At 46.5% G+C, this 24,534-nt stretch overlaps 1 long non-coding RNA gene across 1 annotated transcript, besides 2 other annotated features; it reads right to left on the reverse strand.

Annotated features, from left to right (window-relative positions):
- Positions 1–296: 296 nt before the first annotated feature.
- Positions 297–12,722, reverse strand: LOC105379771 (uncharacterized). The gene is made up of 3 exons (XR_001745706.1): positions 12,520–12,722; positions 11,806–11,899; positions 297–1,202 (listed from the first exon to the last, which is right to left on the reverse strand). It is a non-coding gene; the product is annotated as an uncharacterized LOC105379771 (long non-coding RNA).
- Positions 22,946–23,465: an enhancer, noted in NCBI's record as "H3K4me1 hESC enhancer chr8:41052497-41053016 (GRCh37/hg19 assembly coordinates)". NCBI's record gives its function as "activates a minimal SCP1, AML or CMV promoter by ChIP-STARR-seq in naive H9 embryonic stem cells {active_cell/tissue: H9 hESC(naive)}" and the evidence as "EXISTENCE:reporter gene assay evidence [ECO:0000049][PMID:30033119]".
- Positions 23,466–23,985: an enhancer, noted in NCBI's record as "H3K4me1 hESC enhancer chr8:41053017-41053536 (GRCh37/hg19 assembly coordinates)". NCBI's record gives its function as "activates a minimal SCP1, AML or CMV promoter by ChIP-STARR-seq in naive H9 embryonic stem cells {active_cell/tissue: H9 hESC(naive)}" and the evidence as "EXISTENCE:reporter gene assay evidence [ECO:0000049][PMID:30033119]".

Below are 24,534 nucleotides of genomic sequence, written 5' to 3' on the forward strand. Positions count from 1 at the left end.
TCAGTGCAACAACTGCAAAAAAACAACTGCAAAGTTGTTTCTTTTTCTTTTTCTTTTTCTTTTTTTTCTCTTTTGAAATGGAGTCTCGCACTGTCATCCAGGCTGGAGTGCAGTGGTGTGATCTCTGCTTACTGAAACCTCCGCCTCCTGGCTTCAAGTGATTCTCCTGCCTCGGCCTCCCGAGTAGCTGGGATTACAGGCGCCCGCCACCAGGCCCAGGTAATTTTTTGTATTTTTAGTAGAGATGGGGTTTCACTATGATGGCCAGGCTGGTCTTGAACTCCTGACCTCCTGATCCTCCTGGCTCGGCTTCCCAAAGTGCTGGGATTACAGGCGTGAGCCACCATGCCCAGCCAAAGTTGTTTCTTGTTCCTGCTGTGTGGCTGGCAGGAAAAGCAGCTGAAGCAGCTTTCCTGAAGCCAGCTAGTCCTCAGTCCTCACCAGCACCCAAGAGAAGACCTCTGGTCATAACAGCTGAGATGCAGACTCCTGGCATTTCATACACACAGAGACAGCCTCAAAACTCATTAAAATATTTCACTAAGGGAAAAGGGAGAGGTGATTCCCTGATCTGCTTTTATTTCTTTCTGAGATTGAGGACCTCTGTTCCTCTCAGCTTCCCGAAGCTGTGAGCTGGAGACGTATGCTCAGCATGGCCTTGGGAGCTTGGCCCGAATGCATGCTGTTCTCGAAGTACTCTGTTTGCCCCCTAAGCATTCCTTGATACTCTTGTGTAGCCAAAATTACAGAAGGAATTTTCTGGTCAGAAAGAAGGTTGAGAGAATGGAGACGTGCAAGGGTCAAAAATTTCAGATGAGACCCAGAAAAATAAAAAGGAAATCTATTAAAGAACGTGCTCATCCAGCTCCTAACGACTGTGGGATCTGCCTCAGAAAGAGACGAGGAATCCTCCTCTGCCCCAACTTGATTCAGAAGAGCCTGCCAACAGCACGCTCAGGCTCAGAAGACCAGGCGAGGCTTTCAGACTTTCTTTGAACATCAAAAAGCCCACGTCCTTCTGGTGACCTTGAGGAGCGAAAGGGAAGCAGGGAAGCTCTGAGCTCCGTGTTGATGGTATAAAGATCAAACAGGACCCAATGGAACTAATGCTTCCCTTTATCTCTTGACTCCAGAAGTCTTCAAATGGCCCACCATGCCCTGAAGCTGGAGATTCAGAGGGAAATTGAGATGTCTTTCTTCATCTGGGAAGAGAGAACAACGTACAAATTGTAATTCATCCCAAGGAAAACCTCTTAGAGCTGTTCACTTTCACTGCTCTGCAGACAGCATTTTCTTCTGTGCAGCCTAGTTGGCCACACCCCACCTCACTCACATGGTACCCTTGGCACCCTTCTCCACCCCAGGCGCCCCAGCCTCTCTCACTGAAAGTCTCTTGAGATTCAACACCTAGCACAGCGCCTGCCTGGAAATGGCACTAAGTATTTATAGAATAAAAACGAAATAAAGGCCAGGTTTTGTGGCTCATGCCTGTAATCCCAGCACTTTGGGAGGCCGGGGTGGGAGGATCACTTGAGCCCAGGAGTTCAAGATCAGCCTGGGCAACACAGTGAAATCCCATCTATATTAGGCAGTTCTTGCATTGCTATCAACAAATACCTGAGAGTGGGTAATTTATAAGTAAAAAGGTCTAGTGGCTCAGGGTTCTGCAGGCTGCCCAGGAGACATAGTGCCAGCATCTGCTTCTCGAAGGCCTCAGGAAGCTTTTGCTAGTGGCAGAAGGTGAAGTGGGAGCAGGCATGTTACGTGACAAAAGCAGAAGCAGGCTGGGTGCGGTGGCTCACACCTGTAATCCCAGCACTTTGGGAGACCAAGGCAGGTGGATCACGAGGTCAGGAGTTCAAGACCAGCCTGGCCAATATGGTGAAACCCCATCTCTACTAAAAATGCAAAAATTAGCTGGGTGTGGTGGTAGGCGCCTGTAATCCCAGCTACTCGGGAGACTGAGGCAGGAGAATCGCTTGAACCTGGGAGGCAAAGGTTGCAGTAAGCAGAGATCACACCACTGCACCCCAGCCTGGGCAACAGAGCGAGACTCCATCTCGGAAAAAAAAAAAAAAAGCAGGAGCAAACGAGAAGAATGGCGTGAGGGGAGCTGCCATGCACTTTTAAATGACCAGATCTCACGAGAGCTTGCTATCATGAGGACAGCACCAAGCCAGGAGGGATCCACCCCCATGATCCAAACACCTCCCACCAGGCCCCACCTCCAGCACTGGAGATTACAATTCAACATGAGATTTGGGCAGGGACAAATATCCAAACTATATCACCATCTCTACAAAAAAAAAAAATTTTTTTGAGATGGAATCTCGCTTTGCCTCCCAGGCTGGAGAGAAATGGCACAATCTCAGCTCACTGCAACATCCACCTCCCGGGTTCAAGCAATTCTCCTGCCTTTGCCTCCTGTGTAGCTGGGATTACAGGCATGCACCACCATGCCCCGCTAATTTTTGTATTTTTAGTAGAGAAGGGGTTTCACCATGTTGGCCAGGCCGGTCTCCAACATCTGACCTCAGGTGACCTGCCTGCCTCGGCCTCCCACAGTGCTGGGATTACAGGCGTGAGCCACTGTGCCCAGCCCAAAAAATATTTTTAAATTAGCCAGACATGGTGGCATGCACCTATAGTCCCAGCTACCATGGAGGTTGATGTGGGAGGAGGGCTTGAACCCAGGAGGTTGAGGCTGCAGTGAGCTGTGATCACACCACTGCACTCCAGCCTGAGAGACAGAGTGAGACCCTGTCTCAAAAAAGCAATAAATAAATGAATAACTATCTAAATGTTTCACTGTTGGAAGGAGCAGTTTAAACCACAATCATTCTGTTTTCAGCATTTCCTCTTTCGCTCAGCTTCGATAAATAGACAGTGTATACCGACTGTGTGCTTGCACTTGTAGGAGAGATAAGAGGGGCTTTAGAGGCAGCACCTACACTCAGGAGCCTTCAGTTTGCCTAAAGAGATGACATATGGACCCAATTATTATAGAAATGTGTGTGGATTCTTCAACTACCACCTAGGGATCAGCAGTTAAAAATGCAAGTCTCCCTGCAGTGAGCTGAGATCGTGCCACTGCACTCCAGCCTGGGCGACAAAGAGAGACTCCACCTCAAAAAAAAAGTAAAAATAAATAAATAATGCAAGTCTCCCAAACCCACTCATCAGTGGTCCTGATTCAGATAGGTCTTAAAATTGAAATTTTGAGCCAGCTCTCATGTGACTCAGAGGCTGATATATACCAGTCCACGCTTGGAGAAACACTGGTTTACAGGGAAGAACAGACTCACTAGGCAGGCACTGAAGGCCTTGCCTGATCTGTTCCATGATCTTCCCTGTTACGCCCGTAAATCTTCCCACCTCCTCCCTGCCTCCATTCTATCTCCCATTGGTGACTCATAGCTCTGGGTCTCACCTTTGCATGGATGGCCCCCTTGGGTCTCAGGGCAGGTGTTTCCAGCAAATTAGTAGTGACCTTTGCCAGAAGCTAAGTAACATCCTGGGAGATGGCTAAATAACACCCTGGGATGAGGGCTAAGTAACATCCTGGGAGAGCCAAACCTGTCCCTCCCTCTTACCCCTGCTATGGGTCCCGCAGGCTGCCCTGAGGTTAGAAGGAACCAGCACGATGCGCTGGGCTGTCAGAAGTGAGGGGCACGGGCAACTAGACTTCCTCCCCACTGACTTCCTGATCTTGTGGAGTGTAGGGAGTCAATAAGGGACAACACAAAGAACCACTTTATGGCTGGTAAGCTTGGTAATCATTAGGGAACAAGCAGAACTCCTTCAGGACACTTAACAACAAAGAGAAGGAAGAGACTCTCACCCTCCACCCTGTCTCAGCCGCAGCACCACAGCTGGGGGTGGTAGAAACACCGGGCAGGACATGGGGGAAACAAGGTGGGAGGTGGGCACTCAGTCACAAGCTTTTTTTTTTTTTTTTTTGAGATGGAGTCTCGCTCTCTCGCCCAGGCTAGAATACACTGGCATGATCTCCGCTCACTGCAAGCTCCGCCTCCTGGGTTCACACCATTCTCCTGCCTCAGCCTCCCCAGTAGCTGGGACTACAGGCTCCCGCCACCACCCCCGGCTATTTTTTTGTATTTTTAGTAGAGACAGGGTTTCACCATGTTAGCCAGGATGGTCTCAATCTCCTGACCTCAGTCACGAGCATTTTCAAGACAACCCTGAGACTCCTGGGAACACTTGGGAGGGGGAGGTGTAAGGTTACAGATTGTATTAGTCAGGGTTCTCCAGAGAGACAGAACCAATAGGAGAGAGATAAATGATGCGTATGTAATAGATTGATAGATAGATAATACACAGATAGATGATAGACAACAGATAGATGATAGGTCAATAATAGATGATAGATTGATAGATCGATCAAGAGATGATAGAGATAGATGATAGATAGATAGATAGATACAAACATACATGCATACACACATAGATGAAAGGGGATTTATTAGGGGAATTGGCTCACGAATTTATGGAGGCTGAGAAGTCCCATGACAGACCATCCACAAGCTGGAGACCCTGAGATGCTGGGAGCATGGCTCAGTCCAAGTCTGAAAGCTTCAGAGCCAAGGGAAGCTGATGGTGTCGCTCTGTCTGAGATCAAAGGCCTGAGAGCCCACAAGACAGCTGGTGCAAGTCATGGAGAACCTGGAGTTCTGATCAAGAGCAGGAGGAGGAGAGTGTCCAGTTCCAGGAGAGAATGAGGAAATCTTTTTCTGTCTTTTTTTGTGCTATTGAGGCCCCCAGCTGATAAGCACTCAGTCCACCACCTCACACACCAGCCTCCTCTGGAAGCACCCCACAGATACACCCAGAAGTGCTGCTTTACCAGCTCTTTAGGTATTCCTTAATCCAGTCAAGCTGACACCTAAAATTAACCATCACACAGCACCAGAAGTAGAGCTACAGCCAGTAAATGTGCATCGTTACTTTTTGTAATTCCCAAATGAACAAAATTCTAAAATAACTCTCAAGTGCACCTACACCGCTGCCTTATAGGAGGGCTTCGTGGCTTCTTTTCATGACTATTGAAACAATGTCATATCTGGTCTCCCATTGTTTCATTCTCCATTTTATTCACTGTACTGCAGTCATCGGTATTTTTTTTAATTATAAGTCTGATCATTTTACTTCCCTCCTTAAAACTATTCAAGTTCTCCGTAACCCATACCTTAAAGTCTAGTTTCCTACAGACCCTTCAGAACTTGATTCAAGCATAAAATCCTCCAAGAAACTGCCCTGAATTCCTTGAGTAGAATGGGCAACTTCTTCCTCTGCCTCTGTTATGTTTAGTTATAGAACCCATTACAGTTTATGGCATTTATTCATTTACCTGATTATCTGATTCTTCTCCTAGACTGGAACTTCCTTGAGGGCAATCCTATACTCTTACCCATCTCTACCATTAGTACCTAGCCAAGTGCTGGTGTGCACTATGAGTTTAATCAATGTTCATTCATTCACTAATACCATCACATGGCCCCTATCTTGGACTATTTCCTTCTTGCCCCTTAACATGTTCTCATCCCCACCATTGACTTTTTATGTCTCTTCCTCTCTTTCCCTGAAATATCCTCTATCTTTTTCATTTTCCCTTTTACTTCTTTAAACATTTTTTGTAACAAAATCATTACAATGCCCACAATCCTTGAAAGAATAATTCTGCCATTTGTTGTTTCTGCTGACTCTTGCTCCCGGTGGCTTATTCCTTTGTGTGGCGTGTGATTTTGGATTATGAACTCATGTTTTCTAAGGTCCCTGAGGCACTACCACTTAAATAACCACTTTAAGTTAATTGCATAGCTTGAAGTTTCCTGTACAATGCAGTTAGTACAAATCCAAACCTCAAGCATGTGTGAGGGTAAGTGTCTTGGTCTGTCTGTGCTGCAACAACAAATACCTGAGACTGGGTGATGTATAATGAATAGATGATTATTCCTCACAGTTCTGGAGGCTGGAAAGTCTAAGATCCAGGTGCCAGCTGGTTTGATTGTCTGGTGAGGCTGCATCCTCCAGAAGGCTGGCACACTGTCCTCACGCGGCAGAAGAGCTGGAGGACTAGCCAACCAAATGTGGCATGAAGCTTTATTTTAAACAGGCTTAATCCCATTCACAAGGGAGGAGCCTGCATGGTCTAATTATCTAATCACCTCTCAAAGGTTCCATCTCTTAATAATATCACATTGACAACATTTGAATTTTGGAGGGGACACATTCAAACCATAGCAGTAGGCCTAACTATAGTAACAAATTCAAATTTCTTTTTTTCACCAGAGTCGCACTTCATAAAGCAAGTATCCCTATCTGTCTTCCCTTGCCAGGGGCCTCATTCATCTAGTCCACACTGCCCCAGGAATCCTGTTTTACACATGTGAGGGTTGTCTCAGTTCAATCTTCTCACCTTGTGTGGGCCCCAAAACAGAAGATCCACAGAAGGCATTAAAACCCAAGACCCTAGATCAGAGATCAGCAAAGCATAACTCATGGGCCAAACTGAGCTCACAGCTAGGCAAGTCTTCCCACGCCCTTTTGCTTATGTATTGTCTGTGGCTGCGTTTATGCCACAGAGGCAGAGATGAGTAGTTTGAACAGAGACCATCTGGGCTCGTAAAGCCAAAAATATTTACTATCTGGCCCTGTACAGAAAATGATTTCCAACCCTTGCTCTGGACAACCAGGACCACCAAAAGCACTAGCAACTCTCTTTGTTTTTAGCCCTTGGGAAATACTCTCACCTTTTTGCAAACTCAGTGATGCATTTCAAAGGAATTTTGTATCCTGCGAGTTTAGCCATATTGAGTGGGGAGTTTTTCTAGGACATCTAGTCCACCACATGGCCAGAAAGCAAAGCCAGCCTCTTCTTTCTTTTACCTCTCAAAATTCTAATCACCTTTTGAGGTCTAAAACAGAAATTCTCTCCTTCAGAAAGCCTTCCCCAATGATTTTGGCTTATTGTACCATGTGACTACATGTACTTTAAATGTCCTTATCATCTCTAATCTATGGTCTAGTAATTCATCATAGGAGTGTGTGTGTGTGTGTGTGTGTGTGTGTGTGTGTGTGTGTAACTGCTCTCCAGTTGCATTGAGCAGGTAATTATTCTCTTTCGTATAGTTGTCAGAATCTTAAGAACAATGTTGATCATTGAGATCAATACCTAGTATTATGGGATTTGAGAGTTGACACAATCCTGAGATGTTATGGAGCTCTACATCTGGTAGTTTAGAAAAGAAACCTTGGCCTCATCATGGCAATGGAGAATGTAGCAAGGGGAAGTAGCAAGTGTTCAGGCCTTGGGTTTACACAGAACTGGGTTCAAATCCCAGTTCTAGCTAATTGCATACTAGCCATATGACCTTAGGTAATTAACCCTTCTGAGTTAAGGTTGCTTCATCTATAAAAATATAAAGTAAAGAATGTCATACCTACCTTGGACAATCGAGAGACTTAGAAAGAACATATATGCACAGTTTATGGCATAAGGAGGCAATTAGTAAGCTACTATCATGTTATGGAAATGACTTGTTTGTTAATGATCTTGAGACCACACTTGAAGGTTTTGACTGTTCCAATACTCCATGCATCCAAGCTGGAATTCGATCTGTTATGTGTATCCAAGTTTGTGAAACCTGGACAAGAAGCCTAGGAAATACAGAAAGGAACTGGCAAGGATGCATGCCTAGACCTTACCAGAGAGCAGATTTCCAGCATTTTAGGTCTGGCCGCAGAAATTCTGCAGGGCTAGAACAGGTCAAATGGCCTAACCAATCTAATCAACAGAAAAGTGTATTACAATGTTAATAGCTATCAAAAATGGCTGGTTGACTGCAACTGCCATAGATAATGCATCTTGGTGCTGTCTTTGGCTTTGGCTTCCTTGATAACTCTGTCAGTATCTTATCCCACCATGCCCAGCAGGCCTGAGCTTCACCAGCTAGTCTTGTTCTTTAAGGGAAAACAAATTGTTTGGTTTGCTTTCCCCTTGTTTCTGGCATTTGTAACAGAAGGAACTGAAGAGGGAGATGGGGTGGCCTGAAGTTGCACCACCTCCCTCCAGGCTGACTTAGACCTATGTCTTTGGTGCTCATTCAGGGGTGCTAGAAGCCTCATTCAGGTGCCCTGAACAATGGGTTGGACATGGGATAGCAAGAGAAGCCACAGATGTATTTATGACCCTAGCCACAGAAGAGGCAATGGGAGTTTATTGGTGAGAAGGCCAGCTCATCTAGGCCTTGACTCCTTTAGTAGCACTGGGCTAGTACTTGCTGACATGACCTCTTTAAGCCCTTGCCTGGTGGCCTGCACACTTCCTAGGTCGCTGCACTGCCTCTTTTCTTTTTCCCCCATAGGACATCTGAACATGCCTGCTTTATGCAGCATTCTCCTGCAGGCAAAGGGGTTCCCATTCCCATCCTCACTCTGCCCAAACACATGTGCCCACACCCTGTCTCCACTTTCCAACATTTTATTGATCCATCACTTTTTTTTAAGACAATGTCTCACTCTGGCTCAGGCTAGAGTGCAGTGGTGTGATCACAGCTCACTGCAGCCTCAAATTCCTGGGCCCAAGCCATCCTTCCACTTCAGCCTCCCAAGTAGCTAGGACTACAGATGGGCACCACCACACCTCACTAATTTTCTTAAACTTATTTTTGTAGAGATGAGGTCTTGTTATTTTGCCCAGGCTAGTCTAGAACTCCTGATGTTAAGTGATCCTTCTGCCTCAGCCTCCCAAAGTGCTGGGATTATAGGCATGAGCCAGGCCTCCATCACTTCTGACTTACTCAATGATGGATTTTGAAATTTACTTGTTTGTGTTACTCACAGCACCAAAGGCTGTGTTCAGTGTTTCTTGACTATTTCAATTCTTATTCATTAGGATGCTCTGCATCTGAAGACAGAAGACTCAGTAATAGTAAACCTTTAATTTGCACAGCATTCTTTTTCAATATATGATTTTATACTTTTTAAGTAAACAAAGCATCTAAACTAGGTCAATACTATGTTGCACTAAGTTATTCAAAATGACCTATAAAAAACAATAAATTGATGAAAAAATGTGCAATTCAGATTTCCCTAACATACAAATAGCACTGCAAAATTAAAAGACCAAATTCCAACAGAAAAATGGGAAAGGACATAAACAAGACAGCTCACAGAAATGAAATTAAAAATGGATTACAACATCGGGCAGTGTACTCAACCTTATTCATAATAAGAGAAAAGCTAACTTAAAATTCTATTATCTACAGTTTTTCACCTTTAAGATAGGTAGAGATTAATTAGTGCAACCTCTCTAGAGTGTGATTTGGCAATATTCATACAAAATGCAACGGTACACACCTTTGACCCAGCAATCCTACTTGCAAGAAATTGCCAAACAAATGCATTCTCACATATATGTGGATAATATACATACAAGGTTGTTAACGGTAGCATTATTTATCATAGCAAGGTTTGGGGAAACACCTAAATGTTTATTAATAGAGGACACTGCTTAAACAAGTCATGGGACATCCATACAATGGAATACTATACAACTGCAAAAAATAAAGTGGTGGGCCGGGCACGGTGGCTCACGCCTGTAATCCCAGCACTTTGGGAGGCCGAGGTGGGCGGATCACGAGGTCAAGAGATCGAGATCTTCCTGGCCAACGTGGTGCAACCCCGGCTCTACTAAAAATACAAAAACCAGTTGGGCGTGGTGGCGCACTCCTGTAGTCCCAGCTACTCGGGAGGCTGAGGCTGGAAAATTGCTTGAACCAGAGAGGCACAGGTTGCGGTGAGCCGAGATCGCGTCACAGCACTCCAGCCTAGCGACACAGTGAGACTCTGTCTCAAAAAATAAATAAATAAATAAAAATTAAAAAATAAAGTGGAGGGGCAGGATAGCCTGGTATGGATGGATTTGATTCAGACTCTTAAGGATATATTGTAAAGTGAAAAAGTAAAGTGCAGGACAGCATGCATCCCATATTGATGTCATCTGTACTAAAAAGGTCGGGGGAGAAGAGAATCTCTAAATGAAAATACACTTTTTTTTGTCCTTAGAGACAGGTTCTTGCACTCTCACTCATGCTGGAGTGCAGTGGTATGATCATAGCTAACCGCAGCCTCGCCTTCCTAAGCTCAAGTGACTCTCCTGCCTCAGAGTAGCTGGGACTACAGGCACACACCACCATGCCCAACTAATTAAAAAACAAAATTTTTTTTTTTGTAGAGACAGACTCTCACTATGTTTCCCAGGCTGGTCTTGAACTCCTGGCCTCAAGCATTCCTCCCCACTCTACCTTCCAAAGCACTGGGATGACAAGTGTCAGCCACCACGCCCAGCCACATACATATACTTTTACATGGATAGAATATCTCTAAAGATACATAGAAAATGTAACCCTGATTGCCTCTAGGAAAGAAACAATGTCTAGAAAGGAGGGGATTAGGTGCAGACTTTTCACTATCTACCCTTTGTTCCATTTGAATTTTGATCATCAAAATAAATAAAACATTTTAATCGAGTGTCCCAATTACTGGCAGTAAGTGGTGTTTTTCTTGTGCCACTGAGCCTCATCAAATCCCTTTTGGAAATCAGATGGCACCCAGACATTTGCCAGCTCCACAGTTACCACCCGAGCAGAAGCAGAGGCTCTGTGCCCCAGCGTGGCCCTGCAAGTTCTGGGAGCTCTAAAAGGAGCTTCTCAGATGCCCACAACCCAGTCTGTATCTGTGCAACCTCTCCTTCTTCCTTGGGCTCCCATTCATGCCCCCACCTGCTCATGCTACCCTTGCGAAGGTCTCTTGGAATAGCCTCACTGCAGCCCTATCTGTTGCCTCTGCTACAGCGGTCTCTAAATGCTCCCAACATTTCCTTTCCCTGGAAGCCTGGTTCCTGGCAGGGCAGTAGAAGAGGCAGCAACCCTGCTCTGGGCTGCATTTATCTCCCCAGCCTTAAGCAACTCTGCCTGGACACAGAGTATCACAGTTTTCTGGAATATTTCCATTATCAATAGTACCAACCTCCAGTCCCCTATCTATAAAGATCATGATGACTCCATAGGCTCAAGGGAAGGAGACTCCTTAACACCCACTCATCTTCTGCTTTTTCTGGGACAGGGGAAAAGGGGAGGACAAGACTTGCTTCCCCCTCCACAACTTCCTCCCTCCTCTCAAAAACAAAACAAATATTGGTGGAGGTGGATAGAGGGGAACAGGTGTTACCTGTAATGCCTGCAGTCAATCAAGAATTCCTGATAACTGCTACAACTATAAAAACCCAATTCTAGACAATTCCTTTCTCTCGAGGGTTATTACGTTAAATTCTTCCTTGAGGTTTTCCATTGCAATGATTCTGACACTTAGCCCAAATCTATGGTGGCTACTGTCCTGCAATTATCGTCAGCCCATGCTGGCTCCAACCTGCACCCTGACGCTCTATTAGCCTTCCTGAAACACTCTTGAATGAGACCTTGGTGGCAGCATTGAGTTCCCAAGTTTCCCAAGTTTCCAAATAACCCTTGAAAGTTGGGCCCTATGCCAAGGAGGCTGGCTGGGCTGAGTGGCCTGGAAGGTGTGTTGTACACTCAGAAAAGCGTTGTTTCTCATGGAGACACCGAGCTAAGTAATGGGTGAGAGAGCGGGATCGGTAAGTTACAGTACTGAATTTCAAGGAGCCAACAGACCAGCAGAGAATATGAAACTCTCACACAAAGTGGCTGCCATATAGAACATAACATGACACATGACAGAATATGCACCAGCAACATACCAACATACCATGGAAGATACTGAGAGGTATCACCCCGCCGGAGGAATCAAGGAAGGCTTCATAAAAGCAGTAAGATATCAGTTGAGTGGTGACGGTGTTGACCTAAAAGGAAGAAATTGAGGGACAAAATGTGATTTAAAGCATTTTCTTGGCCAGGCACAGTGGCTTATGCCTGTAATCCCAACAGTTTGGGAAGCCGAGGTGGGGGGATCACTTCAGCCCAGTTCAAGATCAGCCTGGGAAACATAGTGATACCCTGTCTCTGTGAAAATTACAAAAATTAGCAAGGAGTGGTAGCACATGCCTGTAGTATCCCATTTACTCAGGACACTGAGGCCAGGAGGATCATCTGACCCTGGGAGGCAGAGGTTGCAGTGAGCTGAGATCACACCATTATACTCTAACTTGGATGACAGAGCGAGACTCTGTCTCAAAAAAAAAAAAAAAAAGTTTCCTGAGCTAAAGTTAGGACAACTGCCTGGAAGACTCAGACCCAAGTAACCTTGGATATGAGCTCTATTTGGCCTTTGGTACAAGCAGGTTTTTAAACACAAGGGACAGGGATTGGCTGGTAGAAAGTTGTCTGTCGAAAATTCTCATTGGTTAATAGAAGTAGCATTGGTTAATAGAAGTAGTGTTGATTAGTGATTGGCTGTACACTCTGAAGCTATCAGTGTGGGTTAGCGTGTCCCATGCAGTGTTACTGGTTAGTTTCTAGATACCTGTGGCAGCAGCAGGCAGCTTCAATAGATGAATGTGCAGCTGGGGGTGAAGGAGGATGCCAGGGCTGGCTCACTTCAATGTCTCTCTGGGTCTGATCATTTAACAGGACTTGCATTCCTCGGTTTTCTTGCTTTTCTCAAGGGAAAGGTAGAATTTGCCCAGGCCACGATGGTTCACGCCTGTAATCCCAGCACTTTGGGAGGCAGAGGTGGGCGGATCACCTGAGGTCGGGAGCTCGAGACCAGCCTGGCCAACATGGTGAAACCCTATCTCTACTAAAAATACAAAAATTAGCTGGGCGTGTTGCCGCATGCCTGTAATCCCAGCTACTCAGGAGACTGAGACAGGAGAATCGCTTGAACCCAAGACACAGAGGTTGCAGTGAGCCAAGACCAGGCCATTGCACTCCAGCCTGGGCAAGAAGAGTGAAACTCTGTCAAAAAAAGAAAGAAAGAGAGAAGGAGAGGGAGAGAGAAGGAGAGAGAGAGGGAGAGAGAAGGAGAGAGAGAGAGAGGGAGAAGAAGGAGAGAGAGAGAGAGGGAGAGAGAAGGAGAGAGAGAGAGAGGGAGAAGAAGGAGAGAGAGAGAAAGAGAGAAAGGAAGGCAGGGAGGGAGGGAGGGAAAGAAGAAGAGGAAGAAGAAGAAGAAGGAGGAGGAGGAGGGAGAAGGAAGGAAGGAAGGAGAAAGAGAGAGAGAAAGAAAGAAAGAAAAGAAGGAAGGAAGGAAGGAAGGAAAGAAAGAAAGAAAGAAAGAAAGAAAGAAAGAAAGAAGGAAGGAAGGAAGGAAGGAAGGAAGGAAGGAAGGAAAGAAAGAAAGAAAGAAAGAAAGAAAGAAAGAAAGAAAGAAAGAAAAGAAAGGAAAGAAAGAAAGAAAGAAAGAAAGAAAGAAAGAAAGAAAGAAAGAAAGAAAGAAAGAAAGAAAGAAAGAAAGAAAAGAGAAAGAAAGAAAGGAGAAAGAAAGAATTTGGACACAGAGCAGGAAGGGAACAGCTGAGCCAAGGCAAGAGGAATGTCAGCTGGTCTGGCTACCGCCATTTGCATGGCCCTTATAATTTACAGCACTCTTTCCAGTGCATTGCCATTTGACCTTCATGATGACCTCATGACTTACACATTTTTAGAGAAAAAACACTAGACCTCAAAGAGTTTGACGCAATTCACCCAAGGTTATTCAGTGGCAAACATCAGTTTTAACTTGGAAAAATACAGAGTCTTTTGCAGGAAAAGGCACTAACATACCATAGATATGTGTTAATGGGCCCCCAGTTGCCTGGGGCTAATTTTAAAAGTTTGTTCTCTTACATACTTTTAACATTTCCTCTGAGTAAATTATTTTCCAATATTAATTTGCATTGTAAGTAATGTCTTTGGGTTAAATTTCTTCAGGTAACTGCCAGGTTAAACACCAGCCTTGACCCTCTTCAAATTACCCAAATTCTGAGTTACTGGTGGGTGAGTGAATGAGGTTTCACTGTGTATTTCTTTACACTGGCTCAGCTGTGTCAGTGTTTTCAAGACTTGTAATTTGCACAGCTACTTTTTAACTGGTTCTGGGAAGCCCTTAGACTAGCGTACTAGAGTGAACAGGGACACCCTTTGTCTTTCTCTCTCTCTGTTTTTGCTGTTTTGTTTTCAATGAAGATTGGAAGGACAAAGGTAACACAGAAACACATTTATGAGATAAGTGAATGGACTGCTTTATTACTTCTTTTTTTTTCCTTGTCTAATCTATAATGCTTTATTACCTATATGCTGAGATTCCTCTCAAAATGTCCACTGGCATTGATGGCATTGAATTGGCCCAATAGCAAACTGTTGCTTCCTGTGAGATGCCCGTTATTAGGCAGTGGTTTGCTTTTATAGTTTTATGTTTCTTTGTTTGTGCTTTCATTTGTTTTATTTTGTTTTCACACTGTTCGGAGCCAGTGAATAAAACACTGCAGAAAAGGAGCTCATGGTCTCATAATTCTCAGGGAAGATCCTGCCCCACAATGGCATAGCCCTCCCTGATGTCATGGGTGTTCTAAAGATGTTTGCTAAAGGGGAGAAATAATCTTCACAGGTGTAGACCTAGAGTTTCCAGAGCTCCTCTCTACAGGACATCCTACATTTTGTGACATAGGGAGAGACAGGTGAGGGCAGGGACACCGATCACTTCATCACCATTCCCCTCACCGGGCCTGGGTGAAAAAATATAAGCAATTCTCATTATTGGATATAGTGATGTTCCATAAACTTTCTGGAATGCTGGAATGGCGAATACTGAACCATTGCTCCTAGGGGAAATAGAGGGTTATGCTCCTATGAGCCTCTGGTCACAACATCTTCATCAACTGATTGATTCATAACCTTGTTTTTTTACAAGAAAGAGGTCCCAATCCAGACCCCAAGAGAGAGTTCTTGGATCTCACGCAAGACAGAATTCGAGCGAGACCACAGAGTAAAACAAAAGCAAGTTTATTAGAGAAGTAAAGAAACAGAAGAATGTCTACTCCACAGCCACAGCAGTGGCAGAGGCTGCTCGACTAAGTAAACTTATGGTTATTTCTTGATTATATGCTAAACAAGGGGTGGATTATTCGTGGGTTTTCGAGGAAGGGGAGAGGAGTTCCCATAACTGAGGGTCCCTCACCCTTTTAGACCATATAGGGTAGCTTCCAGCCTTTGCCTTGGCATTTGTAAGCTGTCATGGCACTGGTGAGAGTGTCTTTTAGCATGCTAATGTATTATTATTATTATTATTATTATTATTATTATTATTATTATTATTATTATTATTTGAGATAGGGTCTCACTCTGTCACCCAGGTTAGAGTGCAGTGGTGCAGTTTTGGCTCACTGCAACCTCTGACCCCCAGGATCAAACGATCCTCTCATCTCAGCCTCCCTAGTAGCTGGGACAACAGGCATGTGCTACCACACCCAGCTAATTTTTGTAGTTTTTGTAGAGACAGGGTCTTGCCATGTTGCCCAAGCTAGTCTCAAACTCCTGGGCTCAAGCTATCCACCTGCCTCAACTTCCCAAAGTGCTGGGATTACAGGTGTGAGCCACTGCACCCAGCCTGCTAATGTATTACAATTAGCATATAATGAACAGTGAGGATGACCAGAGGTCGCTTTTGTCACCATCTTGGTTTTGATGGGTTTTGACTGGCTTCTTTACGGCCTCCTGTTTTATCGGCAGGGTCTTTGTGACCTGTATCTTGTGATATCAGTCCTGTTGACCTCCTGTTTCATCCTGTGACTAAGAATGCCTAAACACCTAGGAATGCAGCCCAGCAGGCATCGGCCTTATTTTACCAAGCCCCTATTCAAGATGGAGTCACTCTAGTTTGAACGCCTCTGACAGTTTTATTTCTCTTTCTGTTTAAGGACACTTCCTATGATATGTATTGCTGATTCATTAGTACATTGAACTCATGGCCACCTGCAGTGTGACACACCTGAGCAGAGCTTACCTAACGCACATATTTTCTCTGGAAGTTGCATTGCATCCTTCTCAGGCTATGCAACACTAGATAGCACTTCAGTGTTACCCTTGGGGACCATTTTAAATGGCAAAATCACCAACAAAAAGCACAAAAATGCGAAAAACATGGCACTACATAAACTATGAAAAGGACTCTTATTTAGAGTAAGAAAAAAAGAGAGCAGAGCATTTCCTTGTTTGATCTCAGATATAAACATGCACATCCAGAGACCCCAAATTTTTTGTCACTCTGCACATGTCTGCAAATGACCATGAGTGTGTCCTGAGTATGGATTTGGGGGGCAGACATAAATTTTAGCAAGTAGGCAAATTTGCAAATATGGAACCATTGAAAAATGAGGAGAGGCTGAATATTGAAAGCGTGTGTGTGGGTGGGGGAATGGGTGTGGGTGCCTGTGGAAGAAATGAGGGATTCTGTGGTTGGGCAATGTGAGTGAGGGCTGTGTGCAGCTGGATCAGGGCCGCTAGTCTTTATGGTACTGTCATGTGAATTTTTTTTTTTTTTGAGACGGAATCTCATTCTGTCACCCAGGCTGGAGTGCAGTGGCACAATGTCAGCTCACTGCAACCTCCGCCTCCCAGGTTCAAGTGATTCTCCTGCCTCAGCCTCCTGAGTAGCTGGGATTACAGGCACATGCCACCACGCCCGGCTAATTTTTGTATTTTTAGTGGAGACAGGGTTTCACCATGTTGGCCAGGCTGGTCTTGAACTCCTGACCTCAAGTGATCCACCCGCCTCGGCCTCCCAAAGTGCTAGGATTACAGGCATGAGCCACTGTGCCCGGCCCATCATGTTAATTAGATGGTGGTGGCCCCTCTGTACAGCCTCACTCCCCCAGCACACAGCTTAAGGAACAGGCAGGAGAGTTAGCACCTTCAAGCCAAGAAAAGGAAACCCTTTTCTCCAGGGGAATGAGGCTTTGTACCAGCACATTTGGCTCAGTGGAGAGAGATAGACAGGATTCCGGTCCCTTCTCTCCCCTTGGGGGTGCAAACTGCAGAGCCAATATGGTGGCCTAATAAAGAATGTGGCATGGACAGGCCCACATTATCTTGGAGCAGAAGTTCATCCTTCAAACAAGTCTCATCAGGGCATTTCCACGGGGACTTCTGTGTCCACATTTCCATTCTCTGACCCATGTTTTGCCTCAGGCCTTGGATTCCTTTAAGAGCCCCTGATTGGTTTCCTAGGGTTGTTGTAACAAATGAATACAAATGCTATGGCTTAAAGCAACAGCACTGTATTCCCTCACAGTTCTGGAGTCTACGACTCTGAAGTCGGTATCGGTATCGGCAGAACCAGGCTCTCCGCAGGCTCCAGGGAGACTTTGCTCTTGCTTTTCCAGCCTCTGGCGGCTTCTGGCCATCCTCAGTGCCCTTTGGCTTGTCGCTGCGTCACTCCGTTCTCTGCCTCCATCTTCACAGGCCCTCTTCCCCTGTGTGTGTGTGTCAAACCCGGGAGGTGGAGGTTGCAGCGAGCTGACATCTTGCCACTGCACTCCAGCCTGGGAGACAGAATGAGATTCCTCTCCTTTGGATTTAGGGCCCACCCTTAATCTAGCATGATCTCATCTTAACTAATATATCTGCAAAGACTCTATTTCCAAATGATGTCACATTCTGAGGTTCTAGGCAGATATGAATTCTGGGGGGGGGGGGGAATATTCAATCCGCCACCACTCCCACAAATGAAGCCTGGGGAAGCTTAATAACGGGGATCTGGACCATTGTCTGACCACCTTTGGCCAGAGCTCTGGCTTGCTCTCAACGCCTCCATTATTGCATGCCCCCCAGTTATGGGGTCCCCCTTTGCTCCTATGTCCTTTCCAGGCTTAAGGGGTTTGAATCAACTGTGGTAAGTGAAAAGATAGAGAAAGAAAAACAAATGCCAGCCACAAGAAAAACCCTGAAATATTTCACCTTGAAAGTTTATGCAAATATGCACAACCTCATTAACAATAACTTAAAGTTTGCTCTGACCCAAGGGCACATTCCAGGGGACACCAATGGTCTGGGCATTAGAACTGCACCCAGAATAACACAGGAGGTTAGACATCAATGACCCCTTCAGCCACATTTCCCGTGGTCTCAGGAAACCGGCACTGTGAAGCCTGCCTTCGTGACAGCCTGTCCTCTGACACGCTCTGGAAAAGAGCATGGGCTGCAGTCCACTCTGAGATTCCTCATCTTGACCATGAGGCTAAAACAAGCCAGCCACTGGAGGTAGGTATCTACCGACGACATACCTAAAGGAGGTCTTCAGCTTGAGTCCCTTTGAAGATAAAAAATTTTTTCAAGAATAATTAAATCTGCTGCACTGTGTAATAGAAACCAAATGCAATTTGCTCTCCAAGCTTTTTGGATTTCCAGATCTTTTTCCCTTTTCCATCAGTCCATGTGTTGCAGGTGGAGTTAACTCCACCCCGGACTTCAGGTGGCCATGGAGCCAGGCCTGACCAATCAGAGCGCTGGATTCTCCTGGCCACAGAGATTGGATGAAGGGTGAGTGTCGGCCACAATCAGAACCAATGAAAAGCAGTGAGACTCTTTATGGGACTTCTGGGAGAAGGATGTGGGCTGTTGCCTTTGGGTTTGTGTAGCTGCTGGCAGCTATATCACCACTGTGGAATGACTTTGGAATTAAGTTAAGATGAAGAACAGTGGAGCTGAGAGGATCATTCAAACTGAGACTTGATGACATCAGTTTAGCTCTGGATCTAGTTGTAGCTGGACCTGAAAAAATATATATATTATTGGACTTTCAGTTACATGAAGGAGTAAACTCTTTTTCTTGGTTTTTTTTTTTTTTTTTTTAACTAATTTGAGTTGGAGTTTCTGTCACTTTCAATAGAGAGACTCTTAGGGCACATACAAAACCACCCAAGAAAGATGTGGGGACTCATCCAGCAGGCCTGGCATTGAGCGCCACTTCTTCCTGACTAGGACACAGGAGATCAAGCTGTACCAGCAGCTGAGTTAAACCTCTTGTCTTTATAAATTACCCAGTCTATTTTGATCACCATGGGATCACCATGACCACCCAGCTGGGTCTGTTTCTCTGAGCACCCAAGAGATTTTTTGCTTTGCTCTTATTCTATTTTTTATTAATTTTTATTAGTATTATTATTTTTGTAAAGTTGGGGTCTGGCTCTGTTGCCCAGGCTGGTCTCAAACTCCTGGCCTCAAGCAATTCTCCCACCTCGGCCTTCTGAAATGTTGAGATTACAAGCATGAGCCAATGCATCCAGACTACTTTGTTCTCACTCTATGTGAGGCCTCTGTATGTCTCCCCCAGACTGCTCTTGCTTGTCCTGGTGATAATCTCGTGTCCACTTCAGACTGCCTTGGCCTCAACTGACTGCCACTAGCAACAGATGCTGAGTCTTCAACCACCCACCACCCAGTTCACTGCCCTGAAAGTTCTAGCCTCTGCAATGGGTCACCTCTAACATGCCATGATGGACACCATGGCAGGCCCCTGGCTGCTGGCTCAGTGTTCAACTAACATAGTGACCAAGGCAGCTGGAGAAGGCAAGACCCTGGCTTCCCAGGGCCACCTAGTGCCACAGGTTGATGTGGCCATTCCCAGGCTGGTGTGTGGCAGGCTCTGCTTTCTATGTGGCCTTCACCTTGCCTGCACCCATGCCCCTCACCAGCTGTATTAGTCTGTTCTCACGCTGCTATGAGGAAATACCTGAGACTGGGTAATTTATAAAGAAAAGAGGTTTAATTGACTCACAGTTCCACATGGCTAGGCAGGTCTCAGGAAACAGAAGGGCAGAAGGAGAAGCAAACATGTCCTTCTTCACAAGCTGGCAGGAGAGAAAAGTGCCAGCAGGAGAAATGACAGATGCTTATAAAACCGTCAGATTTTGTGAGAACTCACTCACCATCACGAGAAAAGCATGGGGGAAACTGCCCCCAGGATCCCATCACTTCCTGTCGGGTCCCTCCTGTGACACATGGGATTATGAGAACTATAATTCAAGATGATATTTGGGTGGGGGCACAGCCAAACCATATCACCAGCCTAAGCCTGGAAGGAACAATACAGCAGACCCAGGCCCAGCCGCTTGCCAGCCGAGCCCCTCTCCTTCCTGGTCCTTATGTTTCCCAGGCTGAAAGGGGCTCCAACTTGTCCTTTGCTTCTCTTGCCTCACTCCCTCTTTCTCCCGGGCTCCAGCCAAGCCAAGAGACTCTCCTCTATGCTATGGAAGAAGTCTTTGAGAAGAGTCACCCAGGCTCCATTGCTGAAATGTTAAAGGGGGAGCGACAGAGATGTGGAAATGGGTTTTGAAGACAATAGCCTGGCACGCATAGCTCTCTTATTGCTGAAGGATCAGATTCTGAATGTCAAGGGCTGCATACGAAGCTTTTCTCTCTCTTTGCATTTCTTAAATAACTTTTCTCATTCCCTCCCACTCGCAAACAAGAATGTTTGGGGCACATGAAAGCATTGCTGTCCAAAAGAACTTTCTGCAATGGTGGAAATACCCTCTGTGCCATCCCCACGCTAGCTGTATGTGGCCACTGAGGACTTGAAACATGGCTTGTCGGCTAGAGGAATGGACTTTTTCATGTATTTCATTTCAGGTAACTTACATGAAATTAGCCACATGTGCTAGTGGCTACTACTCTGGGTAGCACAGAACTAGTGTACAGGTCTCTTCAGCAAAGCAAAAGAGAAACGCACAATCGTTTTTTTAAAATCTACCCATCCCCCTTCACTGCAGGTGGGAAGAGCTGTGCAATTCTGCATCCTCCTGCTAGGACACATGCTCTGGTGGGTCAATTATTTCACACTCAAGATTTCTCCATCATCACCCACAGACACAACAGCAACAGGTGTTTTTACAGCACCGCATACCTCCCTGTCTCTGAACATCGCCTGCCAGAGGTTCACATCGTTTCCAAGAGACAGATCCGTAATCTAGACCACTGGCTTTCTCATATTTCTCATGTTCCTTGTTTTCTTTTGAGAGTTTCCTCCTTAGCATCAGGGGCCTTCAGGAAAAATGTCAGTGAACAGCAGGAAACAGTTCCATAGCAGCTCACTCTCTCAGGCCCCAGGAGGTCGCAGAAGGGCAACCTCCCGGTTTGGCTTATTTTCCCTGGGAAGTGTCTGTCGTTCAGGCCTCTTTAAGGAGTCAGTCCGCTGAGCCCTGCTGAGCACTGGGGCTCCTGTGCGTACTGTGGAGGCTGCATTGCAAGATAATCCCGAGAAGCTGGAGGGCCCCAGAAACCAGGGGAAACCCTCTACCTCATCCCCTAACTCTGAGTTCTAAAACCACGAGGTCCTCATACTGTGCCCCTGGGCTCACCTAGGATAAAAGGAAAGGAACACGATAGATAGATGCGGAGAGAAAATCACCTTCCACCACAGTCTGGAGTGGGGTTCAAAGAAGTGATCACACTGCCAATCCCACGCTGGCTTTGAAGATGAGTAATTGGCAAGAGCAGTGATTAAAAACTTACCTTTGTATGGTAAGTTTCTCATATAGCATCTCACTTAAATCCTCTCAAGCCCAAGCTGGCAGCATTATAAATGTCCTCAACCGTGAGAAGAGAAAGCCAAGCCAGCAGGGGTCAGTGCACTCTGAAGTCACACACCAGGAATTGGTGGGGCAGGTCGACTGTCTCTGGAGCCCAGAGTGGCATGGGGTTCAGGGGAGAGCTGCAGCCACAGAGATGAGAGTGTTGGGTGTGACATATGGGAAGGAGGAAGGAGGTGATCACCAAGAAACACTCTTAAGAGGACATAAGACATATTCTAGGCCCCAGATAGCACTGACCTTGACTGTACTAAAGCAATCAATACCCCTGGCCCGCACACTGCCTGCCAGCCTTGGGTAGAAGCACTTAGGGTCACACCACATTTTTCAGTTTGTCAGGTTCTTTGTACTTGCACAATCGCATTTGATCCTCACAGCCAAAGGACCGCGAAGTAGGAAGTCACGGTAGTTCTTGAAGCCTCCACGTGGGTGGGAGAGCTGCAGTACAGAGGGATTCAGAAAGCTGCTTCATGTTAAACAGCCCAAGAGTGACAAGACAAATATTTCATTTATTTTTAATGCTATGTTTTTAGAGAGGGGGGTCTCACTCTGTCACCCAAGATGGAGTGCAATGGTGTGATCATAGCTTACTGCAGCCTTGAACTCCTGGCAGCAAGCAATCCTCCAGCCTCAGCCTCCTGAGTAGCTAAGACTACAGGTATGCACCACCATGCCTGGCTAAAGAGTAAGGATTCTGCCAGGCACAGTGGCTCACATCTATAATCCTAGCACTTTGAGAGCCGAAACTGGAGAATTCCTGGAGGCTGGAAGTTTAAGACCAGCCTCAGCAACATAGCAAGACCCCAACTCTATTCAAAAATATTTAAAAATTTTAAAATTAGCCAGGTGGGGTGGCAGGCACCTGTGGTCCCAGCTACTCAGGAGGTTGAGATAGGATTGGTTGAGCCTGGGAGGTTTAGGCTGCAGTGAGCTGTGATTGCGCCCTGCACTCCAGCCTGGGTGACACAGCAAGACCCTGTCTCCAAAATAAATAGTAAGTGAGGATTCTAACCTCTGCCTCTGCCTCCCGGTCCATGGCTCTTTTCTGTGTAGGTGAGGCCCACTGTAGCCCCTCCAGGGACTGGCTGTCTGTTCCACAGCTCAGCATGTCCATCACTCTGCTCTGTCTGTCCTCTCTTCTCCAGCCATCCCAGCAGGAGGGGGTGAGTGCCTGGACCCTTCTTTAATTGCCACTCCCTGTCTCATCAGTCCTCACCTGGACATTACTCCTGGAGTGAGTCAAGAGGAGCCTCAAGAACTCCCTCCTTAGAGGAGCCCACGCCGCGCTCCTCTGCGGGGCGGGAGCCAGCCCACACTTCCAGCCTGGGTTGTGTCATCAAGGACCCCGGCCGGGGCCAGGCCCACCACCCATCTGCTGGCACATCTCCATTAGTCTCCACAGTCTTTCCCTGCAAGACTGCTCTGCAGAGCTTCACACAGACAGCCTGCTGGGCCCCGCAGCTCTGCAGCCAGCCCCGGGGCCAAGAGCCTACACAAAGATGTCCATGGGAAAGAGCTCCATGCCTGGTCAATTTATGGTCCCATGATGATGCCCGCCTTCCGAAATGCTTCCTCTCTTCTCTCCTGAGTGGCTCCCGAGCCTGGGAGCCAGTAGGGTGGACAGCGCAGCCCCTTCCCCACCCCTACTGAGGCTGCTTTATCAGGGGAAAGCAAGCCCAGGTGGCTCTGGGCCAACCAAACAGCTACTACCCCCGGGAAGCCCCAGCCTGGATGTGCTCCCTCAGCCAGGGTGGTCCAGGAAGAGGCTCAGAGTTCCCAGAAGCCACCTGAGCACATTCTGCATTGGCCCCTGCACACACCAGCCTCTGCCCCGCTGCCCTGGAGCTGCTCCCAGGAGACAGTGGTGCTTCCTGCAGCCACGCCACCCAGGCTCATCCTTCTGAGGGGCTGCCAGCAGGAGGAGAGGGGAGGGACTGGGGCGTGGAGGCAGGAAGGACTGGGCCCCCTGCCCTGGCTGCCCACAAGCAAGACCCTCAAGCCTGCATCCCCAGGAATACCTCTGTCCTTGGGTCCTCATCTGAACAAGGAAAACAAAAACACTTGCCTGGCCGATCTCCTTCCTTCATGCATTCATTGAGCACCTACTGTATGCCAGGCACTCTGCTGGGCACTGTGCAGATACTCAAGAACAAACCATCAGGGCCTGCTCTCCTCGAGCTTACTGCCTTGTTCCCAAAGGAAATCACTCATCGTGCTGTCTTGGGGGGCGGCACCTGGCACACACGCAACCACATCTCCATAAACGTTTGAGGACTCAGCTTAATTAACACATGCCTTTTTGCTCAGGGCTGCTATGAGATGCTTAAGAGACAGTGCAGGATCAGCACTTTGTAAATTATAAAGGGATTATACAAACGTCAGGGACGATTTGATTGAGGCCATGACAGAGCCAGAGCTCTGCCAGGCAGCTCCGAAACGGAAGGGAGAGGTGTGGCCCGTGCCTGCAGGGAGAATTTCGCAGGTCTGATGGGGAGAAGGCACTTCAGCTCCGAAGCAGGGCAAGACCACCCATAGAGGAACCCTGTGACCTTGGGCCAGAGGACTTGCCTGTGGCCAGATTTGTAAGGCTCACCGCATGGTGTCCTTGCAAAGGGGTTCCCCAGACTCTCAGTGGGACTTTGGGCCTTTCAGAAAGACACTAAACTAATTAGGCACATAGGGAGGTAGTTAATTCAGGCAGCCGCAATTTTTTCTATTTTAGAAATCATAATTATTTACAATTCTTAAAAATTCAATTTATTGAATTAAAAATGCAATTAATTACAATTCTTAAAAAGAAGACAATTTTCTTCTTCAGCTCTCAGTCTCCCTTTTGCCTAAACTTTTTAACCCCAGATATAGACATGAGGTCCGCTGGAACTTGGTTCTCACTCCTCTGTACTCAAAGTTCATGTCAGCCCTCCTTCCACTGCCCTGAGCCCAAGGCGTTTATCATTTTCACTAAAGTTCCTTAA

This window comes from Homo sapiens, chromosome 8 (assembly GCF_000001405.40).
Source record: "Homo sapiens chromosome 8, GRCh38.p14 Primary Assembly".
In the NCBI taxonomy this organism is placed as follows: domain Eukaryota; kingdom Metazoa; phylum Chordata; class Mammalia; order Primates; family Hominidae; genus Homo; species Homo sapiens.